Source organism: Homo sapiens, chromosome X (genome assembly GCF_000001405.40).
Source record: "Homo sapiens chromosome X, GRCh38.p14 Primary Assembly".
In the NCBI taxonomy this organism is placed as follows: domain Eukaryota; kingdom Metazoa; phylum Chordata; class Mammalia; order Primates; family Hominidae; genus Homo; species Homo sapiens.
In genome coordinates this window covers 18321375-18340742 of record NC_000023.11, presented here as the reverse complement: position 1 = coordinate 18340742, position 19368 = coordinate 18321375, and the positions used below count along the sequence as shown (strand labels likewise).

Sequence of the window (19368 nt, the reverse complement as noted above, 5' to 3'; positions counted from 1 at the left end):
TGTCTCCTGGGTTCAAGCAATTCTCCTGCCTCAGCCTCCTGAGTAGCTGGGATTACAGGTGCCTGCCATCACGTCTGGCTAATTTTTGTATTTCTAGTAGAGATGGGGTTTCACCATGTTGGCCAGACTGGTCTTGAACTCCTGACCCCAAGTGATCTGCCCGCCGTGGCCTCCCAAAGTGCTGGGATTACAGGCGTGAGCCACCACATCCGGCCTTGTTTATCACATGTTAGATTGCAAAATAAGCAGTAACTTCTGTCCTGAGCGTCAATCTTAAGAATAGCGGAGATTTTCCTTAAGGAATTAACTTTTTACATTTTATGTATTAATTTTTGAGACAGGGTCTCACTCTGTTGCGCAAGCTGGAGTGCAGTGGTGTGATCTCAGCTTACTGCAACCTCTGCCTCCCAGGCTCAAGCGATCCTCCCAACTTCCTGAGTAGCTGGGAGTGCAGGTGTGTGCCACCATGGCTTGCTAAGTTTTGTATTTTTTTGTAGAGATGGGTTTCACTGTGCCGCCCAGGCTGGTCTGGAACGCCTGAGTTCAAGCAATCCTCCCACCTTGCCTCTCAGAGTGCTGGGATTACAGGTGTGAGCCACTGTGTCCAGCCTTTGGTATGAACTGGCATTTATTATTCATTGTACATTTCATTTTAGCTAAGAAATGTTGGCTTTATGAATTTATTATATAGAGAGAATTTCATTTGAAGATTATCGATATATGGAATTTGGTGGTATATATTTAAAAGTGGTTCAAATATATGTTGTATATGGGTTTACATATATGATTTTTTAAAATTTGAAGGGTGTACACCAGATGGTTAACAACAGGTATTGTTTGGTGGTGGAGTTATAGGTGATTCTTTCCCCCTTCTTTTTGCTTATCTGTGTTCTCATTTATTTTCAATGATGATGAATGTGTAAAAAGAAAAAGAAAATTCTGGTTTCTAGGAGTCCACAAGGATGTTTTGGCTCATAAAGGGCCAAAAGCCACCTTCTCTTCTTTTTAATTTAATTTTTATTTTTAGAGCTGGGGTCTCACTCTGTTGCCTAGGCTGGAGTGAAGTGGTGGTGTGATCATAACTCACTGCAGCCTTGAACTCATGGGCTCAAGTGATCCTCCCTCCTCAGCCTCCCAGGTAGCTGGGACTGTAGGTGTGCTGTACCACGCCCGGCTAATTATTTTATTTTATTTTTCTGTAGTGATGGTGTCTTGCTGTGTTGTCCAGGCTGGTGCCAAATTTCTGGCCTCAAGTGATCCTCCTACTTTGACCTCCTAAAGTGCTGGGATTATGGCATGCACCATGGTGCCCGGCCCAAAAGCTATTTTCAATACTCACCTACCTTAAAGGAAATAATATATTAATGAATAATTACCTAAAAGTCATACAGCATGAGATGATGTCAAGTTTCCTTTGGCTTTAGCTAGAATGTATAACTTTTCTGATAATGCTGATTAGTAGATGACAGCTGCTTTCTTTGATAGTGATATGTCTGGTTGTTATAAATATATACATTTATTTATTTCAGCTTAATATAAGAGCAATTTAATTTAGAGTTCCTGTTTTGTTAAGCAACAACTCTTTGGTCTGTACTTTGGAAGAGTAACCAAGTAATGCTTGGAAATCCAAGTTGGAACATAGTTTCATTTTACAACATGATTAATGTTAAATGTTAATGCTAAAACTCACTAATTTCAGGAAGTTTTCATTAGGACAGATGGAATGGGATAAGGAACAGTCTTTGAGCTTCTACTTGTTTGAGATACTATGCTGGGTGTTCCTACACTGCCTCATTTTCTTTTCTTTCTTTTTTTTTTTTTTTAATGAGACAGGGTCACCACACACTGTCACCTGGGCTGGAGTGCAGTGGCACGATCATGACTCACTGCAGCCTCGACTTCCCAGGCTCAGGTGATTCTCCTACCTCAGCCTCCCAAGTAGCTGGGACTACAGGCATGTGCCACCACACCCAGCTAATTTTTGTATTTTTTTGTAGAGACGGGGTTTTGCCATGTTGCCCAGGCTGGTCTCCAACCCCTGGGCTCAAGCAATCCTCCTGCCTTGGCCTTCCCAAGTGCTGGAATTATAGATGTGAGCCACCACACCCAGCCCCTCCTGTCTAACCTAAACTTTTTACACTTTGACCAACTCCCCATTCCTTGCCCCTTCCTCCCCAGCCTCTGGTAATCATCATTCTGCTCTGTACTTCTGTGAGTTCAACTATTTTAGATTGCACATGTAAATGAGATCATACAGTTTGTGCCTGGATTGTTTTTTTTTTTTCTTTTTTTTTTTTTTAAGACAGAGTCTCCCTTTGTTGCCCAGGCTGGAGTGCACTGGCGCAATCTTGGCTCACTTAAGCCTGTGCCTCCCAGGTTCGAGCAATTCTCCTGCATCAGCCTCCCGAGTACCTGGGACTACAGGCATGTGCCACCATGCCCGGCTAATTTTTGAATTTTTAGTAGAGATGGGGTTTCACCATGTTGGCCAGGCTGGTCTCGAGTTCCTGGCCTCAAATGATCCTACCGCCTTGGCCTCCCAAAGTGCTGGGATTACAGGCGTGAGCCACCGTGCCTGGCCCTTTCATCTTTTCTAATATATGCATTCAATGTTGTAAATTTCCTTCTAAGTACTGCTTTCATTGCAATGGACAAATTTTGATAAGGTGTATTTTCATTTTCATTTAGTTGAATTAAAAAAAATTATCTTGAGCTTTCTTCTTTGACCCATGCATTATTTCAGAGTGTGTTGATTAATCTCCAAATATTTGGGAGTTTTTCAGCTTTCTGTTATTGATTTCTAGTTTAATTCCATTGTGGTCTAAGAACTGAAACATTGTATGGTTTCTATTCTTTTAAGTGTGTTAAGGTGTGTTTTATGGCCCAGAATATGGTCTATCTCAGTGAATGTTCCATGTGAGCTTGAGAGGAATGTGTATTCTGCTCTTGTTGGATGAAGTAGTCTCTAGATGTCAATTATATCCAACTGATGATGTTGAGTTCAACTATGTCCTCGCCGATTTTCTGCCTGCTAGATCTGTCCATTTCTGATAGAGGCTTGTTGAAGTCTCCTACTATAATAGTGGATTTATCTATTTCTTTTTTAGTTCTATCGGTTTCTGCCTCACATATTTTGATGCTCTCTTGTTAGGCATATACACATAAAGGATTGTCATATCTTTTTTGAGTATTGACCCCTTTATCATTATGTAATGCCCGGCTTTATCCTTGATAACTTTCCTTGCTCTCAAGTCTGCTCTGTCCGAAATTAGTATAGCTATTCCTCTATTCCTGCTTTTTTTTGATTAGTATTAGCATGGACTTTCTCCATCCCTTTACTTGTAGTTTATATGTGTCTTTATATTTAAAGTTTTTTTTTTTTTTTTTGTAGCCAACATACAATTGGTTGTTTTTTTTTTTTTTTTTTTTTTTTTTTTGAGACAGAGTCTTGCTCTGTCGCCCAGGCCGGAGTGCAGTGAGTGGCGCGTTCTTGGCTCACTGCAACCTCCACCTCCCATGTTCAAGTGATTCTTCTGTCTCAGCCTCCCAAGTAGCTGTGACTACAGGCACACATCACCACATCTGGCTAAGTTTTGTATTTTTAGTAGAGCTGGGGTTTCACCATGTTGGCCAGGCTGGTCTCGGACTCCTGACCTCAGGTGATCCACCCGCCTTGGCCTCCCAAAGTGCTGGGATTACAGGCACCCAGCCTAAAGTAATTCTTGATATAGTTGGATTAATAACTACTGTATTTATTGCTGTTTTCTGTTTGCCCTTGTTTTTTATTCTTATTTTTGTTTTCTACATTTTCTGCCCTTTGTGGTTTTAGTTGACCATTTAATATGATTCAGTTTTTTCTCCTTTGTAAGCATATTATTCTTTTTTTTCCCACTTTTTTTTAGCGGTTGCCCTAAAATTTGCGATATACATTTACAACGAATCTAAGTCTGCTTTTAAGTAACAGGACCATTCTTTTCTTATTTTATTTTATTTATTATTTTTTTTCGAGACGGAGTCTCGCTCTGTCGCCCAGGCTGGAGTGCAGTGGCGTGATCTTGGCTCACTGCAAACTCCGCCTCCCGGGTTCACATCATTCTCCTGCCTCAGCCTCCAGAGTAGCTGGGACTACAGGCGCCCGCCACCATGCCCGGCTGATTTTTTGTATTTTTTAGTAGAGACGGGGTTTCACCGTTTTAGCTAGGATGGTCTTGTACTCCTGACCTCGTGATCCCCCCGCCTCGGCCTCCAAAAGTGCTGGGATTACAGGCATGAGCTACCGTGCCTGGCCATTTTTTTTTTTTTTTTGAGACCGAGTCTCGCTCTTTCGCCAGGCTGGAGTGCAGTGGCATGATCTCGGCTCATTGCAACCTCCGCCTCCTGGGTTCAAGTGCTCCTCCTGCCTCAGCCTCCCAAGTAGCTGGGACTACAGGTGCATGCCACCACGCCCAGCTAATTTTTGTATTTTTAGTAGAGACGGGGTTTCACCATGTTGGCCAGGATGGTCTCGATCTCTTGACTTCATGATCTGCCTCGGCCTCCCAAAGTGCTGGGATTGCAGGCATGAGCCACCATGCCCGCCAATGGGATCATTCTTTTAAAAATATTTTTCTTTTTCCCATTGGATTACCTTGTTCCCTGAGTTGAAAATCAATTGACCAAATATTTGTGGGTCTATTTCCGGACTGCCTAGCCTGTTTCCACTGATCTAATTTGTATATCCTATGCCAATGTCACACAGTTTTGAATACCGTTGCCTTATACTATGTCTTGAAATAAGATGATGTAAATTCTCCATCTTTGTTCTTTTTGAAGATTGTTTTAGCTATTCTAATCTTCTCCATTTTCAAAAATATAAATTTTAGAATCAGCATATTTCTCTGAAGACCCTATGAGGATTTTGATGATCAGTTTGTTGGTTCTGCAGATTAATTTGGGGAGAATTGACATCTTAAGAATATTGAGTCTTCCAGCTTGTGAATATGGTGATTTATTTAGGTTTTCTTCAAGTATGTATTTTCGATCATCTGTATACGTATTTTCACTCCTTCCAGGATTACAAAAATAACTTATTCAGCCAATGGAAGCAATTGCTACCAGCTGAGTTAAGCATTCAGCTATGGGTTAGATATTTGAGAGAACATGGGAACCTGGTTATATCTTCTGTGTGTGACCCATCCCTCAGTTTATTGGACTGAATTCATTTGTATAGTAATAAGACTATTTATTTATTTATTTTTTTGAGGCAGGGTCTCACTCTGACTCCCAGGGTGGAGTACAGTGGCACAATCACAGCTTACTGCAGCCTGGATTTCCCGGGCTCAGGTGATTTTCCCACCTCAGCCTCCTGAATAGCTGAGACTACAGGCATGTACCACCACACCTGGCTAATTTTTAAATTTTTTGTAGAGATAGAGTTTCACCATGTTGCCCAGGCTGGTCTCGAACCCCTGGGCTCAAGTGATCCACCCACCTCGGCTTCCCAAAGTGCTGGGATTACAGGCATGAGCCACTGTGCCCAGCCTGATAAGACTCATTTTAATGTAATTCACAGGTTTTTGCTCTTTGATGAGAGTCGGTAAGTACCTTCACTTACTACCTGGATTACAGTGCTTTATCATCTGTGTGGATTCAACACCCCGTATATATTTTACTTTCTTGTCTGTTTCTTTAGCCACTGGGCTATAGTCTTTAATTGATCAGTGTCTCTGATGCTGAGTGTCCCAGGCTGATCTTGAACTGCTGGGCTCAAGAAATCCACCCGCCTTGGCCTCCCAAAGTGCTAGGATTACAGGCATGAGCCACTGCACCCAGCCTATGAATGTATTCTTCATAGGTTTACTTTAAGTGCCAGATTACCTTCAGTTATACACATCATCATGTTCTTATTACAGGCACATGGAGTAATGGCGGGATAGATAGCCTTTTGCCATATTAGGTTTATCCATGTACATATTTTTTTATAGCACTTATATTGTGTTTTGTTCATATGCTTATTTCTGACTAGACTGGGGTCTTGGAGGCCAAGGACAGCCTGTTATTTATCTTTGCTGCAGAATGTCTGGCATATTGAGGACATGCAGGAAAAGTTTGAATTAATGAATTATAGCTCAAAATACACAAGGCTTCTAACAAATAATTCTTGTTAGACTTGACTCTTGCAGTTCTTACAGGTTTTCCCAACACGGTCATAATTCTTGTACCTCTTGGCAACATGATGTAGCAGAAGTGGGCTTCCTGGAATAGGCCTCAGTTTGAATCCTAACTTTGCTAACCTACCAACTGTTCTTTTTTACTCAATTAATTTTAAAAATTGAGTCAAAATTTGCATACCATAAAACTCACCCTTTTAAGGTATACAATTCAATGATTTTTAGTATTTTCACAACAAGGCGTATAACCATCACCACTATCTAATTCTAGGACACTTTCATTATCCCACAAAGGAAACTTCATACCCATATTCATGCCCCTTAGCAGTCACTCCTCAATTCCTTCTTCCTCCATTCCCAGGCAACTAGGCATATACAAATCTTATCATTTTTGTTTAAGGGAAACAGATTAAATTGATCTGGCCTTATAACTGACTTCTTATCCTTCAGAAATCTAATATGCTAAAAGGAGGCATTAATTGGTTTTTCTCCTTGTAGGAAACAACACCAAATAGGGATACCATGGGACAAACAGTGAATGAAGGTAAGATTTACTTGTTAAAGGCAATAATGTTTTTAGTTACTCATTTGGAATGAATATCTTCTGGTATACTGAACTTTTGAAATAAAGCCTTTAAAAAATAAATTTATAGGAGATGCTAGGTGCTTAGAATTTGAATTTTAGAACTGAATAGCTATTAAAGGTCATTGTCTTTCCTTGCTAGTTATATAAATGAGAAAACTGAAACTTAGAGAGGTTAAGGTCATACAACAGTTTGTGACAAAGCCAAGATTAGAATCCAAAGAGTGATTAAAAAATGTTTCATCCTGTTTTGCTCTATGAGAAGTCTGCTCACTATTCCATGAATATGCCACACTCATTTGCAGTCAGCTTTGTGTTGTATCTTCCTTCCCATAATACATTCTTTACATATTGGCCTTCCTACATCCTGTTTCTCCTTCAAGCGCTGTATCTCTCATGACTTTTCCTCTGGCTGAATGCTGAGTACTAAATGCTGTTCTCTAATTTTAAGTGTATCAGTTTAGTGTAGTCTCTTGACTAGATTCTTAGCTTCTCTAGAAGCTAAGCATGCCTTTACAGTTTTACTTTGTTTTCTTTTAGAAAAATCCTTCTGTAGAACTATTTAGTAAATACAAATTTGTACGTTCTTTGTACAGATTCAAGTTTGGCTTTTTGGTGAGAGAGGAGAGGATAAGATGACTTCATAAGTGGTGTTGTGTATTTCTCACAGGAGACTCCTAATATCTAGTTATCTCTCTCTGTCTTTTTTTAAATTTTTATTTTTATTTTTTTTTGAGACAGGGTTTTGCTCTGTTGTCCAGGCTGGAGGGCAGTGGCACGATCATGGCTCATTGCAATCTCTGCCTCCTGGGCTTAAGTGATCCTCTTGCCTTAGCCTCCTGAGAGGCTGGGGCCACAGACGTGAGCTACCACACCTGGCTAATTTTTTGTATTTTTAGTAGAGACAGGGTTTTGCCATGTTGGCCAGGCTGCTTTCGAACTCCTGACCTCAAGTGATCTTCCCGCCTCGGCCTCTCAAAGTGCTGGGATTACAGGCATGAACCAACGTGCCTGGCCTTTTTTTAAAAAATATTTTTTTACAGAGATGAAATTACTCAGACTAGAGTGCAGTGGCGTAATCATAGCTTACTGTAACCCCAAACTCCTGGGCTCAAGTGATCCTCCTGCCTTGGCCTCCCAAGCAGGTGAGGCTGCAGATGTGTGCCACCACACCTGGCTAATTTTTTAAAAAAATTTTTGTGGAGACTGGGTCTTGCTGTGTTGCTCAGGTTGGCCTCAAACTCCTGGCCTCAAGTGATCCTCCCTCCTTGGCCTCCCAAAGTGGTGGGATTACAGGTGTGAGCTGTCACATCCAACCTAGTTATCTCTTTTTGTGATGTGAAAAATCACAAAAAGTCATGGATGGCTATTCCCTGGATCCATTCATTTATTAGTAGTTGTAAAATGAAGGTATTCTATCATTCTTTATTGGCCAAAAAATTTCTATATAGAGAAACTACCTTTCTTCAACCACTCAGTTGAAATCATTTAAACAGAAAGCAGCTCATATATCCCTCTCAAGTGTTCACACATCTTGAAGAGTCACTCAGTCATAACTAGTAAGTAGATCTGTTACGTTGAATGGCATCATTCTTAGATCCTTCTTTAAGAAGTTTGTCACTTGACAATTAGAACATCGGTAAGGGTAAAATAGCAACACAAGTATGTTTAAATCCATGAGTTCATAATGATAATAAAAAGCAAAACAAATAAAACTTACTGGTCATCTGTGGAGAATGCTAGAGATCCAGCTCATCACTTTGAAAACTAGAAATACAGGAAAATAATAAAGTGCTGATTGTGATTTCTCTATGTGATCCGTGCCTTAAGGTAACTGAATGGTTGAAGCATGGAAGCTTCTCTCTATAGAAGTTTTCTGGCTAATAAAGAATGATAGAATTAGAATACCTTCATTTTGCAACCATTAATAAACGAAAGGATCTAGGCAATAGCCATCCACGACTGTTCACATCACGAAAAGAGAGATAACTAGATATTAGGAGCCTCCTGTGAGAAATACACAACACCACCTATGAAGTCATCTTATCCTCTCCTCTCCCACCAAAAAGCCAATCTTAAATCTGACCAAACTCTTCTGGATTGAAATATGAATGCCAATTTAAAGAAAATACAAGAAACAGAGGAACCGAACTCTGTGGGGAGGTAGTCAGCAAAATCCAGACTGGAAAACTTGAAAGGACCAACCAACTGGTATTGTCAGCAAAAAAATTGTAAAGGGGAAGAATAAAAACGAGAAGAAAGGAGGAAGACACCTGTAGATCAAAAGAGATGTAAGAGACATATCAACCATTGCTATGTGTGTGGACTTATTTGGGTTCTGAATCAAGCATACACACTAAAAATAGTTAAGACAATTGGGGAACACTGGTTATTTGATGATTTTAAGGAATTATGGTTAATTTTTTTAGATGTAATAGAAATATTATGCTTAAGTTTTTAAAAATGAGTCCTTTTAGAGATACATACTATAATACATGTGGATGAAATGATACATCTTAGATTTGGTGAGGTTACCAGGTCCAGTGTTATTTGAGCTCTTTAGCTTAGCACCAAGAAAATCTCTGCCCAGTCCATTGAATTACAGTGTATTGTAGCTTCTCTGTTATGTTTTGAACTCTCAAAAGCATCTGTTTTATTTCTAGGACATGTTAATTTAAACATTGTAAAGATCAGCTCATTTTGATTTATTGATGCACTGATTTTTTTTTTTTTTTTTTTTTTTTTTTTTTTGAGACGGAGTCTCGCTCTGTCACCCAGGCTGGAGTGCAATGGCACGATCTCAGCTCACTGCAACCTCTGCCTCCCGGGTTCAAGTGATTCTCTTGTCTCAGCTGCCCGAGTAGCTGGGATTACAGGTGCCCGCCACCATGCCTGGCTAATTTTTTCTATTTTTAGGAGAGACAGGGTTTCGCATGTTGGCCTGGCTGGTCTCAAACTCGTGACCTCATGTGATCTGCCTGCCTTGGCCTCCTCAAGTGCTGGAATTACAGGCGTGAGCCACCACGCCTGGCCTGATGCATTGATTTAACAAATGCTTGAGAGTGTTGCGATGCCAGGTCCTGTTTTAGGCGCTTGAGGATACCACAGTGAATGAGATAGACAATAAAATAAATAAATCTCTGCCCTTTTGGAGATTTCATTTGAGTAGAGTGAGACAATAAATGAGCAGATTATAAAATGCATAGTACATTAGAAAATGGTAAGTCCTACATAGAAAATGAAGATATTATAAAACTAAAATTGGCTCTTTAAAGTTTTTTAATTTATATTTTTCTGAGTGCTCTTTCAAGCTGTTGCTGTGGACTCCCAGTATTGCTATTTTCTTTTTTATTAGATTCCATGGATGTCAAGAAGGAGAATCAAGAGAAAACTCCTCAGTCAAGTACATCTTCTGTACAAAGGGGTAGGTTTTAAAGTAATTTAATACAGCATAGTTTTCTTCCTCACTAGTGTTAAAATTAACTTTAAGTGCAAATTTTCTTATTGTTTTGATTTCTTATTGTACAGTCTGTATACTGTAAACTTCTGTAAATACAAAATGTAATAAGAAAGGTCAAAAATTGTATTTTATTTTGAAAATTTTACTTAGAGATAAGTTGACACGGATTAAGTAAAAGGGTAACTTTGTATATTTCAGTGCAAATTTTCCTAAATTATAGGTATCTAGTTATTAATTGCCATGTATTACCAATTTAAAATAATTTGGTTATTAGCAAAAACCCTTCTAACGTTACAGTCAATGTGAAAGCTTTTTTTTCATGGTCAGAAGACAGTTCAGTGGTTAAGAGCTTATAGGCATTGTGGTGAGTCCGACAGATGTGTTCTGGAATTCTGTCCTCACTCCTTACTGGCCATGGTGACCTTGGGCACATTACTCAACAGCTCTTAGACGTTTTTTCTTCTTCTTTCTTTGAGACAGAGTCTCGCTGTGTCACCCAGGCTGGAGTGCAGTGGTGTGATCTTGGCTCACTGCAACCTCCACCTTCCGGGTTCAAGCGATTTTTGTGCCTCAGCCTCCCGAGTAGCTGGGACTACAGGCATGCACCACCACGCCTGGCTAGTTTTTGTATTTTTAGTAGACATGGGGTTTCACTGTGCTGGCTAGGCTGGTCTCAAACCTCTGACCTCAGGTGATCCACTTGCCTCAACCTCCCAAAATGCTGGGATTACAGGCGTGAGCCACTGTGCCCGGCTCTTTTTTCTTCTTTATAACACAGGGATAATGATAGTACTTATCTCATGGCACTACTGGAAATAAATAGAGGAAATGAATTTAAAGCACCTAATATAATGCCTAGGCATATAGTAAGTGTTCAGTAAATGTTAACTTTATTAATTCATGTTCCTTATTATGAACAGTACATGTATAATATTGCATCAGAGACACTCAGGAGATGTAATAGAATCTGATGCATTGGCTTGCTCTTAAATGAGAAAATAAGTCATATGTACACAAAAGGCATTAAAAAATAACGTAGCAAACTATTGTTTTACCAGACATTTCCAGAGATTTCTTGCCCCTTGTGTTTCTGTTGTATCTGCCCTGCCAGCCCCAGTGCAGAGCAGTTCACCCTATGACCTTCTGTTCCTACTTGAAGATTGCCTATAGAGGTAATCCCCACGGAATTGTTGTTCTCTCACTGTAGCTGGGCCCTCAGTGCTCCCTTAACTTTCTTTACCATGGCCTTATTTGTTCTTCAACTCTTCCCTGGGACCCCCAAATCCTCTGAGGAAATGGAGGCCATTGAATTAGACTGTTCCTTATCCCTACAAACTCCTCTCCATCTGTTTTTAAAAATATAACAGCTTTACTGAGTTATAATTCAAATATCATATAATTCACCTATTTAGAGTGCACAATTCAATGGTTTTCAGTATGTTCACAGAGTTGTGCAACCACCACCACAGTCAATTTTAGAACATTTTTATCCCCCTAAAAAGAAATCCTGTACCCATTAACAGTACTCCCCATTTCTCCCTAGTGCCTCCTGTCTCCCCCAGCTCTAGGCAAACACAGGTCTACTTTCTGCCTCTATAGATTTTCCCATTCTAGACATTTAATTAAAAAAATAGATTACTTAAGTTGATAGCCATCTGCAGATACTTCTCAGGCCTGGGCCCTAACATCCTATTTTAGAAATCAGTGAGTGACTACCAGAAGGTAAGCTCCAAGAGAGCCAGGGTTTTAATCTGTTTTATTAACTCATGCATCTGCAGTACCTAGGACAGTGCCTGGCACATGCTGATGACCTGCTATGGGAATCCAGTTACGAACAATATAGACATGATTCCTGCCCTCTTTTATTGACTGACTGATTGAGACAAGGTTTTACTCTGTCATGCAGGCCAGAGTGCAGTGGCATGATCATGGCTCATTGCAGCTTTGACCTTCTGGTCTCAAGTGATCCTCTCACTTCAGCCTCCCGAGTATGTGGGACCACAGGCGTGCACTACCATGCCTGGCAATTTTTAACAATTTTTTGTAGAGACGGGGTCTCTCTGTGTTTCCCAGGCTGGTATTGAACTCCTGGGCTCAAGCGATCTGCCCGCCTCAGCCTCCCAAAGTGCTGGTATTACAGGTGTGAGCCACTGCACCCAGCCTCTTACCCTCTTTGAGCTTAGTGGGCAAGATAGAAATTAACAGATGCCTAATTGTAGTTGTGATAAATGCTGTGAATTAGTGGATGCTGATCATTCAGCTGAGAAACTTCTATCTCTAGGTATTTTGCCCATCTTCACATAGCAAGGGATCCCAAGGATAGCACTGGTGGAAGACATGATTCTGATTTACTCTAGAGAAGACCAGGGGAGCTCATATGGGTTATATTCAGTACAAAAAGATGTTGGAGCTAATGTGTAGACTAGAATAGAGTACAAATAAAAAAAGAAGAGACCATGGGCACATGTGAATAACAATCAGATCACAAGGAGATATATATATAAAATCATATCAGTTCCCAGGCCTCTCTTCTGAGATAGAATACTGCCCCCATCCCCAGTCTGTCAATGAAGACATGATGCAGAGGCAGACTGGGACCTCAGGCTTAACTAAGACTTTCTGACTATTTTGGCTTCTGGTTGGGAATTCCAATGGTGGTATTGACGTAGATGTGTCAAGTCTAAATTAGTAAAGCCTGGAGCTTTGTGTGTTTCCCCTATGTTATGAACACGTGGGCAGCCAAGATGAACAGTTTTATCAAGATGATTAAGAATTTTGCCTTATGGAAAAAGGGGAAAAGAAAACAAACAAAAACCAACGAACCTGAGGCTCCAAATGGCAAATGCTGCATATGGTCATTAACCAGTAATTTGATAGAAAATTATATTGTAGAGCACTAGTATAAAGGATTTGCTAGCTCAGATTGTAGCCCATTCAGACACAAATGGTAATAGAATATTTTAAAAATTTGTGTTATGGAGATGAATTAAGTATTTTCTAATATTACTGAAAAATTTTACAAATGTCATTGGTTTATGGAAGAGTGTTAGTTCTTTGGGTATTCATTTCCTGCTTGTTATTTCTGACTTACACTATTTTCCTCCAGGGTGTCAACTTCTTAATGACATCCATCCATCCCAACTAAATGTTTTGTTTTGTTCTTTTTTTGTTGTTGTTGTTGAGACGGAGTCTCCCCCTGGTTGCCCAGGCTGGAGTGCAGTGGCGCGATCTTGGCTCACTGCAACCTTCGCCTCCACCTTCCGGGTTCAAGCGATTCTCCTGCCTCAGCCTCCCAAGTAGCTGGGAGGCACCCGCCACGATGCCCAGCAATTTTTTTTTTTTTAGTAGAAACGGGGTTTCGCCATGTTGGCCAGGCTGGTCTGGAACTCCTGACCTCAGGTGATCTGCCCACCTCGGCCTCCCAAGTGCTGGGATTACAGGAGTGAGCCACTGCGCCTCGCCCGTTTTGTTCTTTTTTAATGCTCTCCAAGATCATATGGTAGTAGAGCTTCACTTAGAATCTGTAGTGCTAGGGGGCAATCACTGAAACATCTGGTCTGTTTAATTTTGAAGCCGTGGATTTCGGTTTTCACTTTTGACAAAGCTATTCTGTATTAATAAATTTGAGCACAACTATGACTTCTAGTTTTATAACGTGCCATTTATTGAGTGACTTACATATATGCTACTTTATTTAGCTCTCAACATATCTAGTACCATGTACATTACTTTTCCCGTTTTATAAATGAAGGAACTGAGGCTAAGAAAGTGAATGACTTGCTCAGGGTCACATAGCTAGTAAGAGGTAGAGCCATACTGGAAGTAGGCAGATCTGACTCTAAAGCCCACATTCTTTTTTTTTTTTTTTTTTGAGATGGAGTCTTGTTCTGTTGCCCAGGCTGGAGTGCAGTGGTGCGATCTTGGCTCACTGCAACTTCCACCTCCCGAGTTCAAGCAATTCTGCTGCCTCAGCCTCCCAAGTAGTTGGGAATTACAGGTGCCCACCACCACATCCGGCTAATTTTTGTGTTTTTAGTAGAGATGGTGTTTCACCATGTTGGCCAGGTTGGTCTTGAACTCCTGACCTCAGGTGATCTGTTCACCTCAGCCTCCCAAAGTGCTGGGATTACAGAGCCACCGCACCTGGCCCTAAAGCCCACATTCTTAACACTCTCTCTGATGCATGATTTTCAATGCTGGTAGTGCTTGCTTCACATCATCTGGAAGTGGAATCAAACCCAGTATTTTCTTTTAGATGAAACGGTCTCTTAGATCTATTAACCAAAAGCAAGGTGCAAAATGTTACATGTGACATGCTTAATACCACATATAATATGTATACATACATATAGAAATGCATACACACATATGTAATGGTGGTACACTGGAGCTGGCTCACACCGGCTTGGGAGAGCCAATTGTGTACATCTTTTCCCAATTTCATGGTTGGTGGTTTTACCTTGGCACCTTACAGTCAACCATGGTGGTCATATTTACATCACGGAAATCTGCAAACGCTGTCAGTCAGGTTTTTTGTTGTATTTTCCAGAAAGCTGGTTGTTAAACATTATCAGCACTCTGTAGGTTTTTTTGTTTTTTGTTTTCTGCAAGGGGGGAGTCATCTAAGTATAATATCTTTTGAAGGAAATGTAAGAAGCTGGTAAACGTAGATTCTTCCAGGAAAGAGAACTGTCAAACCCAATATTTTTATAGTGAGGAAATTTAGCAAGAGTATAGAAAAGCCTCATGAATGATGAGAATTAAACATCATGTGAATTACTAGTTTGTTCACTACTACTGTCAAGTCTTTTTCTCAGTGTCTTGACAGTCTGGCTGGCACAGTGAAATGATACGTTCAAGCCAGGCAATGTGCTCTGCTTTCTGATCTTCTCTTCTAACATTATAATATGTCATGAAAACTAAGTGAGGAAGGACAGCAAGAGTCTGTAGAAAATGTAGGTCATTAAAATAATCCATATTAGTGACTGTACTGATGACTGGTTTATTGCTTTGTTCTGCCACCATCTTCTTGACACTCTGAATAGAGATCTAATAGTCCATTGAGAAACTACTCTGGTTACCACATTTTTTTCTTTCCATAAAGCATTGCAAGGGTAAAATTCTGTTTGACTGCACACTAAACCTTTAGCTCCCCATGAATAACAAAGAAGTGCCTTCACATTAATGGAATAAAGTGGTGAAAACATATTTATTGAATAAATTTATATTAGAGACAGATGGGTAGACTTCGCTATTACTCTAAAACAATTTCTTTAGTTATTTCTAACGTCCACATTTTTAGAATCACTGTGCTGTAGTCCACATTACAATGAGAGTATCTAGGTTATAATTTATTTCTGAGCCATTATTATCAGGATATCGTCTTATTTTTTATTTTTATGCTGGTCATGAAATGTAGATCAGGATTTTTGAATCTACTCTTTTGGAAGTTTTTTTTTTTTTTCTTTTAAGAGGCATGGAACTAAAACCCATTTTAATCCTGAAAGTTGTATATACTAAAAGTTACATTGTATATGCTTTAAGAAACTATTTTGCACATGTGTTTTTTCCAGATGATTTCCACTGGGAGGAGTATTTGAAAGAGACTGGGTCTATAAGTGCTCCTTCAGAGTGCTTCCGTCAGGTATGCCAAGATTCTGTAGCTGTTAGTTAATGTAAACTATTAACTTGTTGGAGGACGTCTGTGTGATTGTTAGATTCTGGTAGTGTGAGGAGATAGTGGGATTGTGGTAGTGCCTCTTAAGAGCCAGATGGTCTCTTTGCATTCATTAAGAACTTACTCTATGTCAGGTATAATAAGCTTTATGATTGCCCATCTGGCAGGAAAGGCAGACATATAAATAAATAATTATGAGAAGTGTGATAACTCCATACTGGAAGGGCTCACAGGAGCGATGCTATTTGAGATGGTTGGAATGGGAGGAAGGATAGTCCAGGCAGAGAGAACATCCAAAGCCAAGGCACATGGGCATGAAAGAATCTGAGTATTAAGGGATGGCTTGGGGTGGCTGGAGCACAAAGTGGATAGAGGCGATAATGTGGAAATGAGGTTAAAGGTGTGGGGGCATTTAAACTGTGCTGAGGAGTTGGACTTCATTATAGGCAGTGGTGAGCTGCTGGTTGGCTAATTTCAAGGGGAATGGTCTAATCAGATTCTTACTTTAGAAAGCCACTCGGTATATTTTAGAGGCTGTATTTGGGTTGCCTGGAAGTGGGCAGATGAGTGAGAACAGCAGCGGGTAGTGTTTTTATGCTGCATGTCAAGCCAAGGAGAGAATTTTGAAGATCTTTTCCTTGACTCTTACAGCTCTGACCTCACTCATCATCCACTGTGACTGTTATTTAAAATGTTCCTCAGGTATTCTGGTGACATAGCTGTCCATGTGTCTTCTCTTATAGTTGATGCATTTTAACCAAATTTTATTTATATATATAGTCTCAGATTCCACCTGTGAATGATTTCAAAGTTGGTATGAAATTGGAAGCCCGTGACCCTCGCAATGCCACTTCAGTATGTATTGCTACGGTTATTGGAATTACTGGGGCCAGGTTACGGTTACGACTGGATGGTAGTGACAACAGAAATGATTTTTGGAGGCTTGTCGATTCCCCAGACATACAACCTGTTGGGACATGTGAAAAGGAAGGAGACTTACTTCAACCTCCACTAGGTAAGAAGAAAGTTTTAAAAATAGCGTATTCTTTCTAATGTGATATTCAATAGAAATGGCTTTAAGTGGCCTTTTAAAATTTATTTTCTTGGGCATTCTTGCAAATAGATGGTCAGGTGGTTGCTGTGGAGAATGTATGATGAGAGAGGAAATCAGCACCATCTGTTGTGGAGTTTTGCTTAAGTACATATTTGGCATATGTGTGTAGAAGTTTTCTCCACTCCAGGGCAAGACTCATGCTAGGTCTTCAAACTTGAAATGTCAAAACCAGCTCTACTAGATTACATATGCAGATTCAGAACTCCTTCTGGGGAAGAACTTTGTAGCGTTTGATACAAGGCACATGCTCTCTCAATATTGTCCACTGAGCCATTCAGCAATTTTGGTATGGGGATAAGCCTAGGGGAAGGGTATGATTCCACATTCAGGTTCCAGTTTCAAACTCAAGAATTTCATTTCACCTACAGTGGGAAGAAATCAGAGCGAGAGGGACAGGAATTAGTACCTTTAGGTCTTTGAAAAGGAGAAAATGGAGATTTTAGCAAAGATTTTAAGGTACAAAATATGTACTTTAATTTTGGCCACATTTTTGAAAGGTAAAAAGGGTGTAACTAATTTGGGGCAACATTTTTCTTTTTAAAATGTAAGCATACCATGATACTCTGTAGGAAAGAAATGATTTAGTTTATTTAGTTGCTGTTCTATACTTTGAGTGAATGGTGGGCATTTACTTTTATTTGGTTCTTTACAGTGCTGAAAATGAAAATTCCTTGTTGCAAAGCACAATAAAAGAATGGATTTTTTTGTTTTCCTATTAGTGAAAAATTCCTTTTTCACTAATTTAAGTGAAAATTTTTCACAAATTTAAGATATTAACAATAGCCACTCTTTAGTAATATATCTTTATGCTGTCCTTGTTCTATTTGTTCGTTATAACTAATTTGGTTTAAAAAATATTTTTTTTTGAGATGGTTTTCACTCTTGTTGCCCAGGCTGGAGTGCAGTGGTGTGATCTCGGCTCACTGCAACCTCCGCCTCCTGGTTTCAAGCGATTCTCCTGCCTCAGCCTCCCGAGCAGTTGGGATTACAGGTGCCCGCCACCACGCCTGGCTAATTTTTGTATTTTTAGTAGAGACGGGGTCTCACCATGTTGGCCAGGCTGGTCTCAAACTCCTGACCTCAGGTGATCTTCCCACCTCGGCCTCCCAAAGTGCTGGGATTACAGGCGTGAGCCACTGTGCCCGGCTAAAATATTTTTAAAAACTAGTTGGAGATATGTTATTCCAAGAAGATGGTTTGGGGCATGTTTGTTTTTTGCCTTTTGCCTTCTTTCACTCACGTCTTTTGTCGTTTATTTGTTGTTTATAATATTTCTCAAATTACACAGAATTCTATGTGAAAGATAAGTGCAATCCTAGGCTTAGTGCTTCCCTATTTGGATTTTATTTCTCTTGTTGCAATATGGTATGTTTTTGCAGTTTGTTTAAAGGAGATGCTGCTGTTGTAATTGTCAGCATTTCAAATACATAACTAGATTTATGGTCATTCTTTTTAATAAAATTCTTAGACTTTGTTTTATTTAAAAATATGAAATGTATAGAAATATGTGCTGATTAGTATCTGTTTTGGCAGTATATTTAAAAATGCACCATTGGTGCCAGTTTGCTTTTTAGGTACTTTTGAATAGTTTAACTTCCATTTTAATACAACTTATTTAGTTTTCCTTTTAAAAAGATTTATTTGTTTAAACTTTAAAGGTTATTATTAAAAGATTTTATAAAGTTTTAACACACAAACTGAAAGGTGTACAGGTCATAAGTATATAGCTTATAAATGAACACATCTGTAAAGCCATCATCCAAATCAGAAAATAGAACATTATCAGCCCCCCAGAAGACCTGCTCCTGCTGATAACCAGCCATAATCTCTCCTTTCCTAAAGGTACTACCATCTATACTTCCTAACCTTATAGATTAGTTTTATCTCTTTTTAAAGTTTTTATATGTACCTTAATCCAATTTTGGTCTTTTAATCTATGTTTGACTTTAAGCAATTACAGAATTAAGTAAAATGTTACATTTAGGAAAATCTGGGCACATGATGGAATAGGATAATATGGGAGTTGAGAGAGAGGCTTAAGGACCAGAGAATGATTCTTATGCAATACTCTCCACAGAATGGAGAATAATAATGTTGATTTATTATAAGGGAGTATGTAACAAATCTCCCCCCACCCCTGTTTTTTTTTTTTTTTTTTTTTCAACAATTGTGTCTCTGGTCAGATTAAGGGGATTTTGGTACAGGATTATTAGAGGATGACTTTCCATCTTACCTTTTTTGTATGTTTTGTTTTATTGATGGAAAATAGGACAAAACCTGCACCCATTGCCAATGATTCATGTGCCTCCCTGTCTTAATGTATGCATGCATCAGGGGCGCATACCAAGTTCTTTCTAATTCTGGCATTGAGGCAAGCAGGTGTTG

The 19368-nt window shown here is 39.6% G+C and overlaps 1 protein-coding gene across 5 annotated transcripts in view; it reads left to right on the top strand.

Moving 5' to 3' along the window:
• Positions 1-19368, top strand: part of SCML2 (Scm polycomb group protein like 2) — a 115806-nt gene that overhangs the window by 14376 nt on the left and 82062 nt on the right. For all 5 annotated transcript variants that reach the window (NR_033717.2, XM_017029219.2, XM_006724458.1 and 2 more), the window contains exons 2-5: positions 6648-6693; positions 10088-10156; positions 15766-15836; positions 16650-16884. Coding sequence is in view for 4 of the 5 variants with exons in the window: in XM_017029219.2 (XP_016884708.1) it covers positions 6672-6693; positions 10088-10156; positions 15766-15836; positions 16650-16884 (397 nt within the window). In the remaining variant the exon portion in view is untranslated. The remainder of the gene's footprint in view (positions 1-6647; positions 6694-10087; positions 10157-15765; positions 15837-16649; positions 16885-19368) is intronic.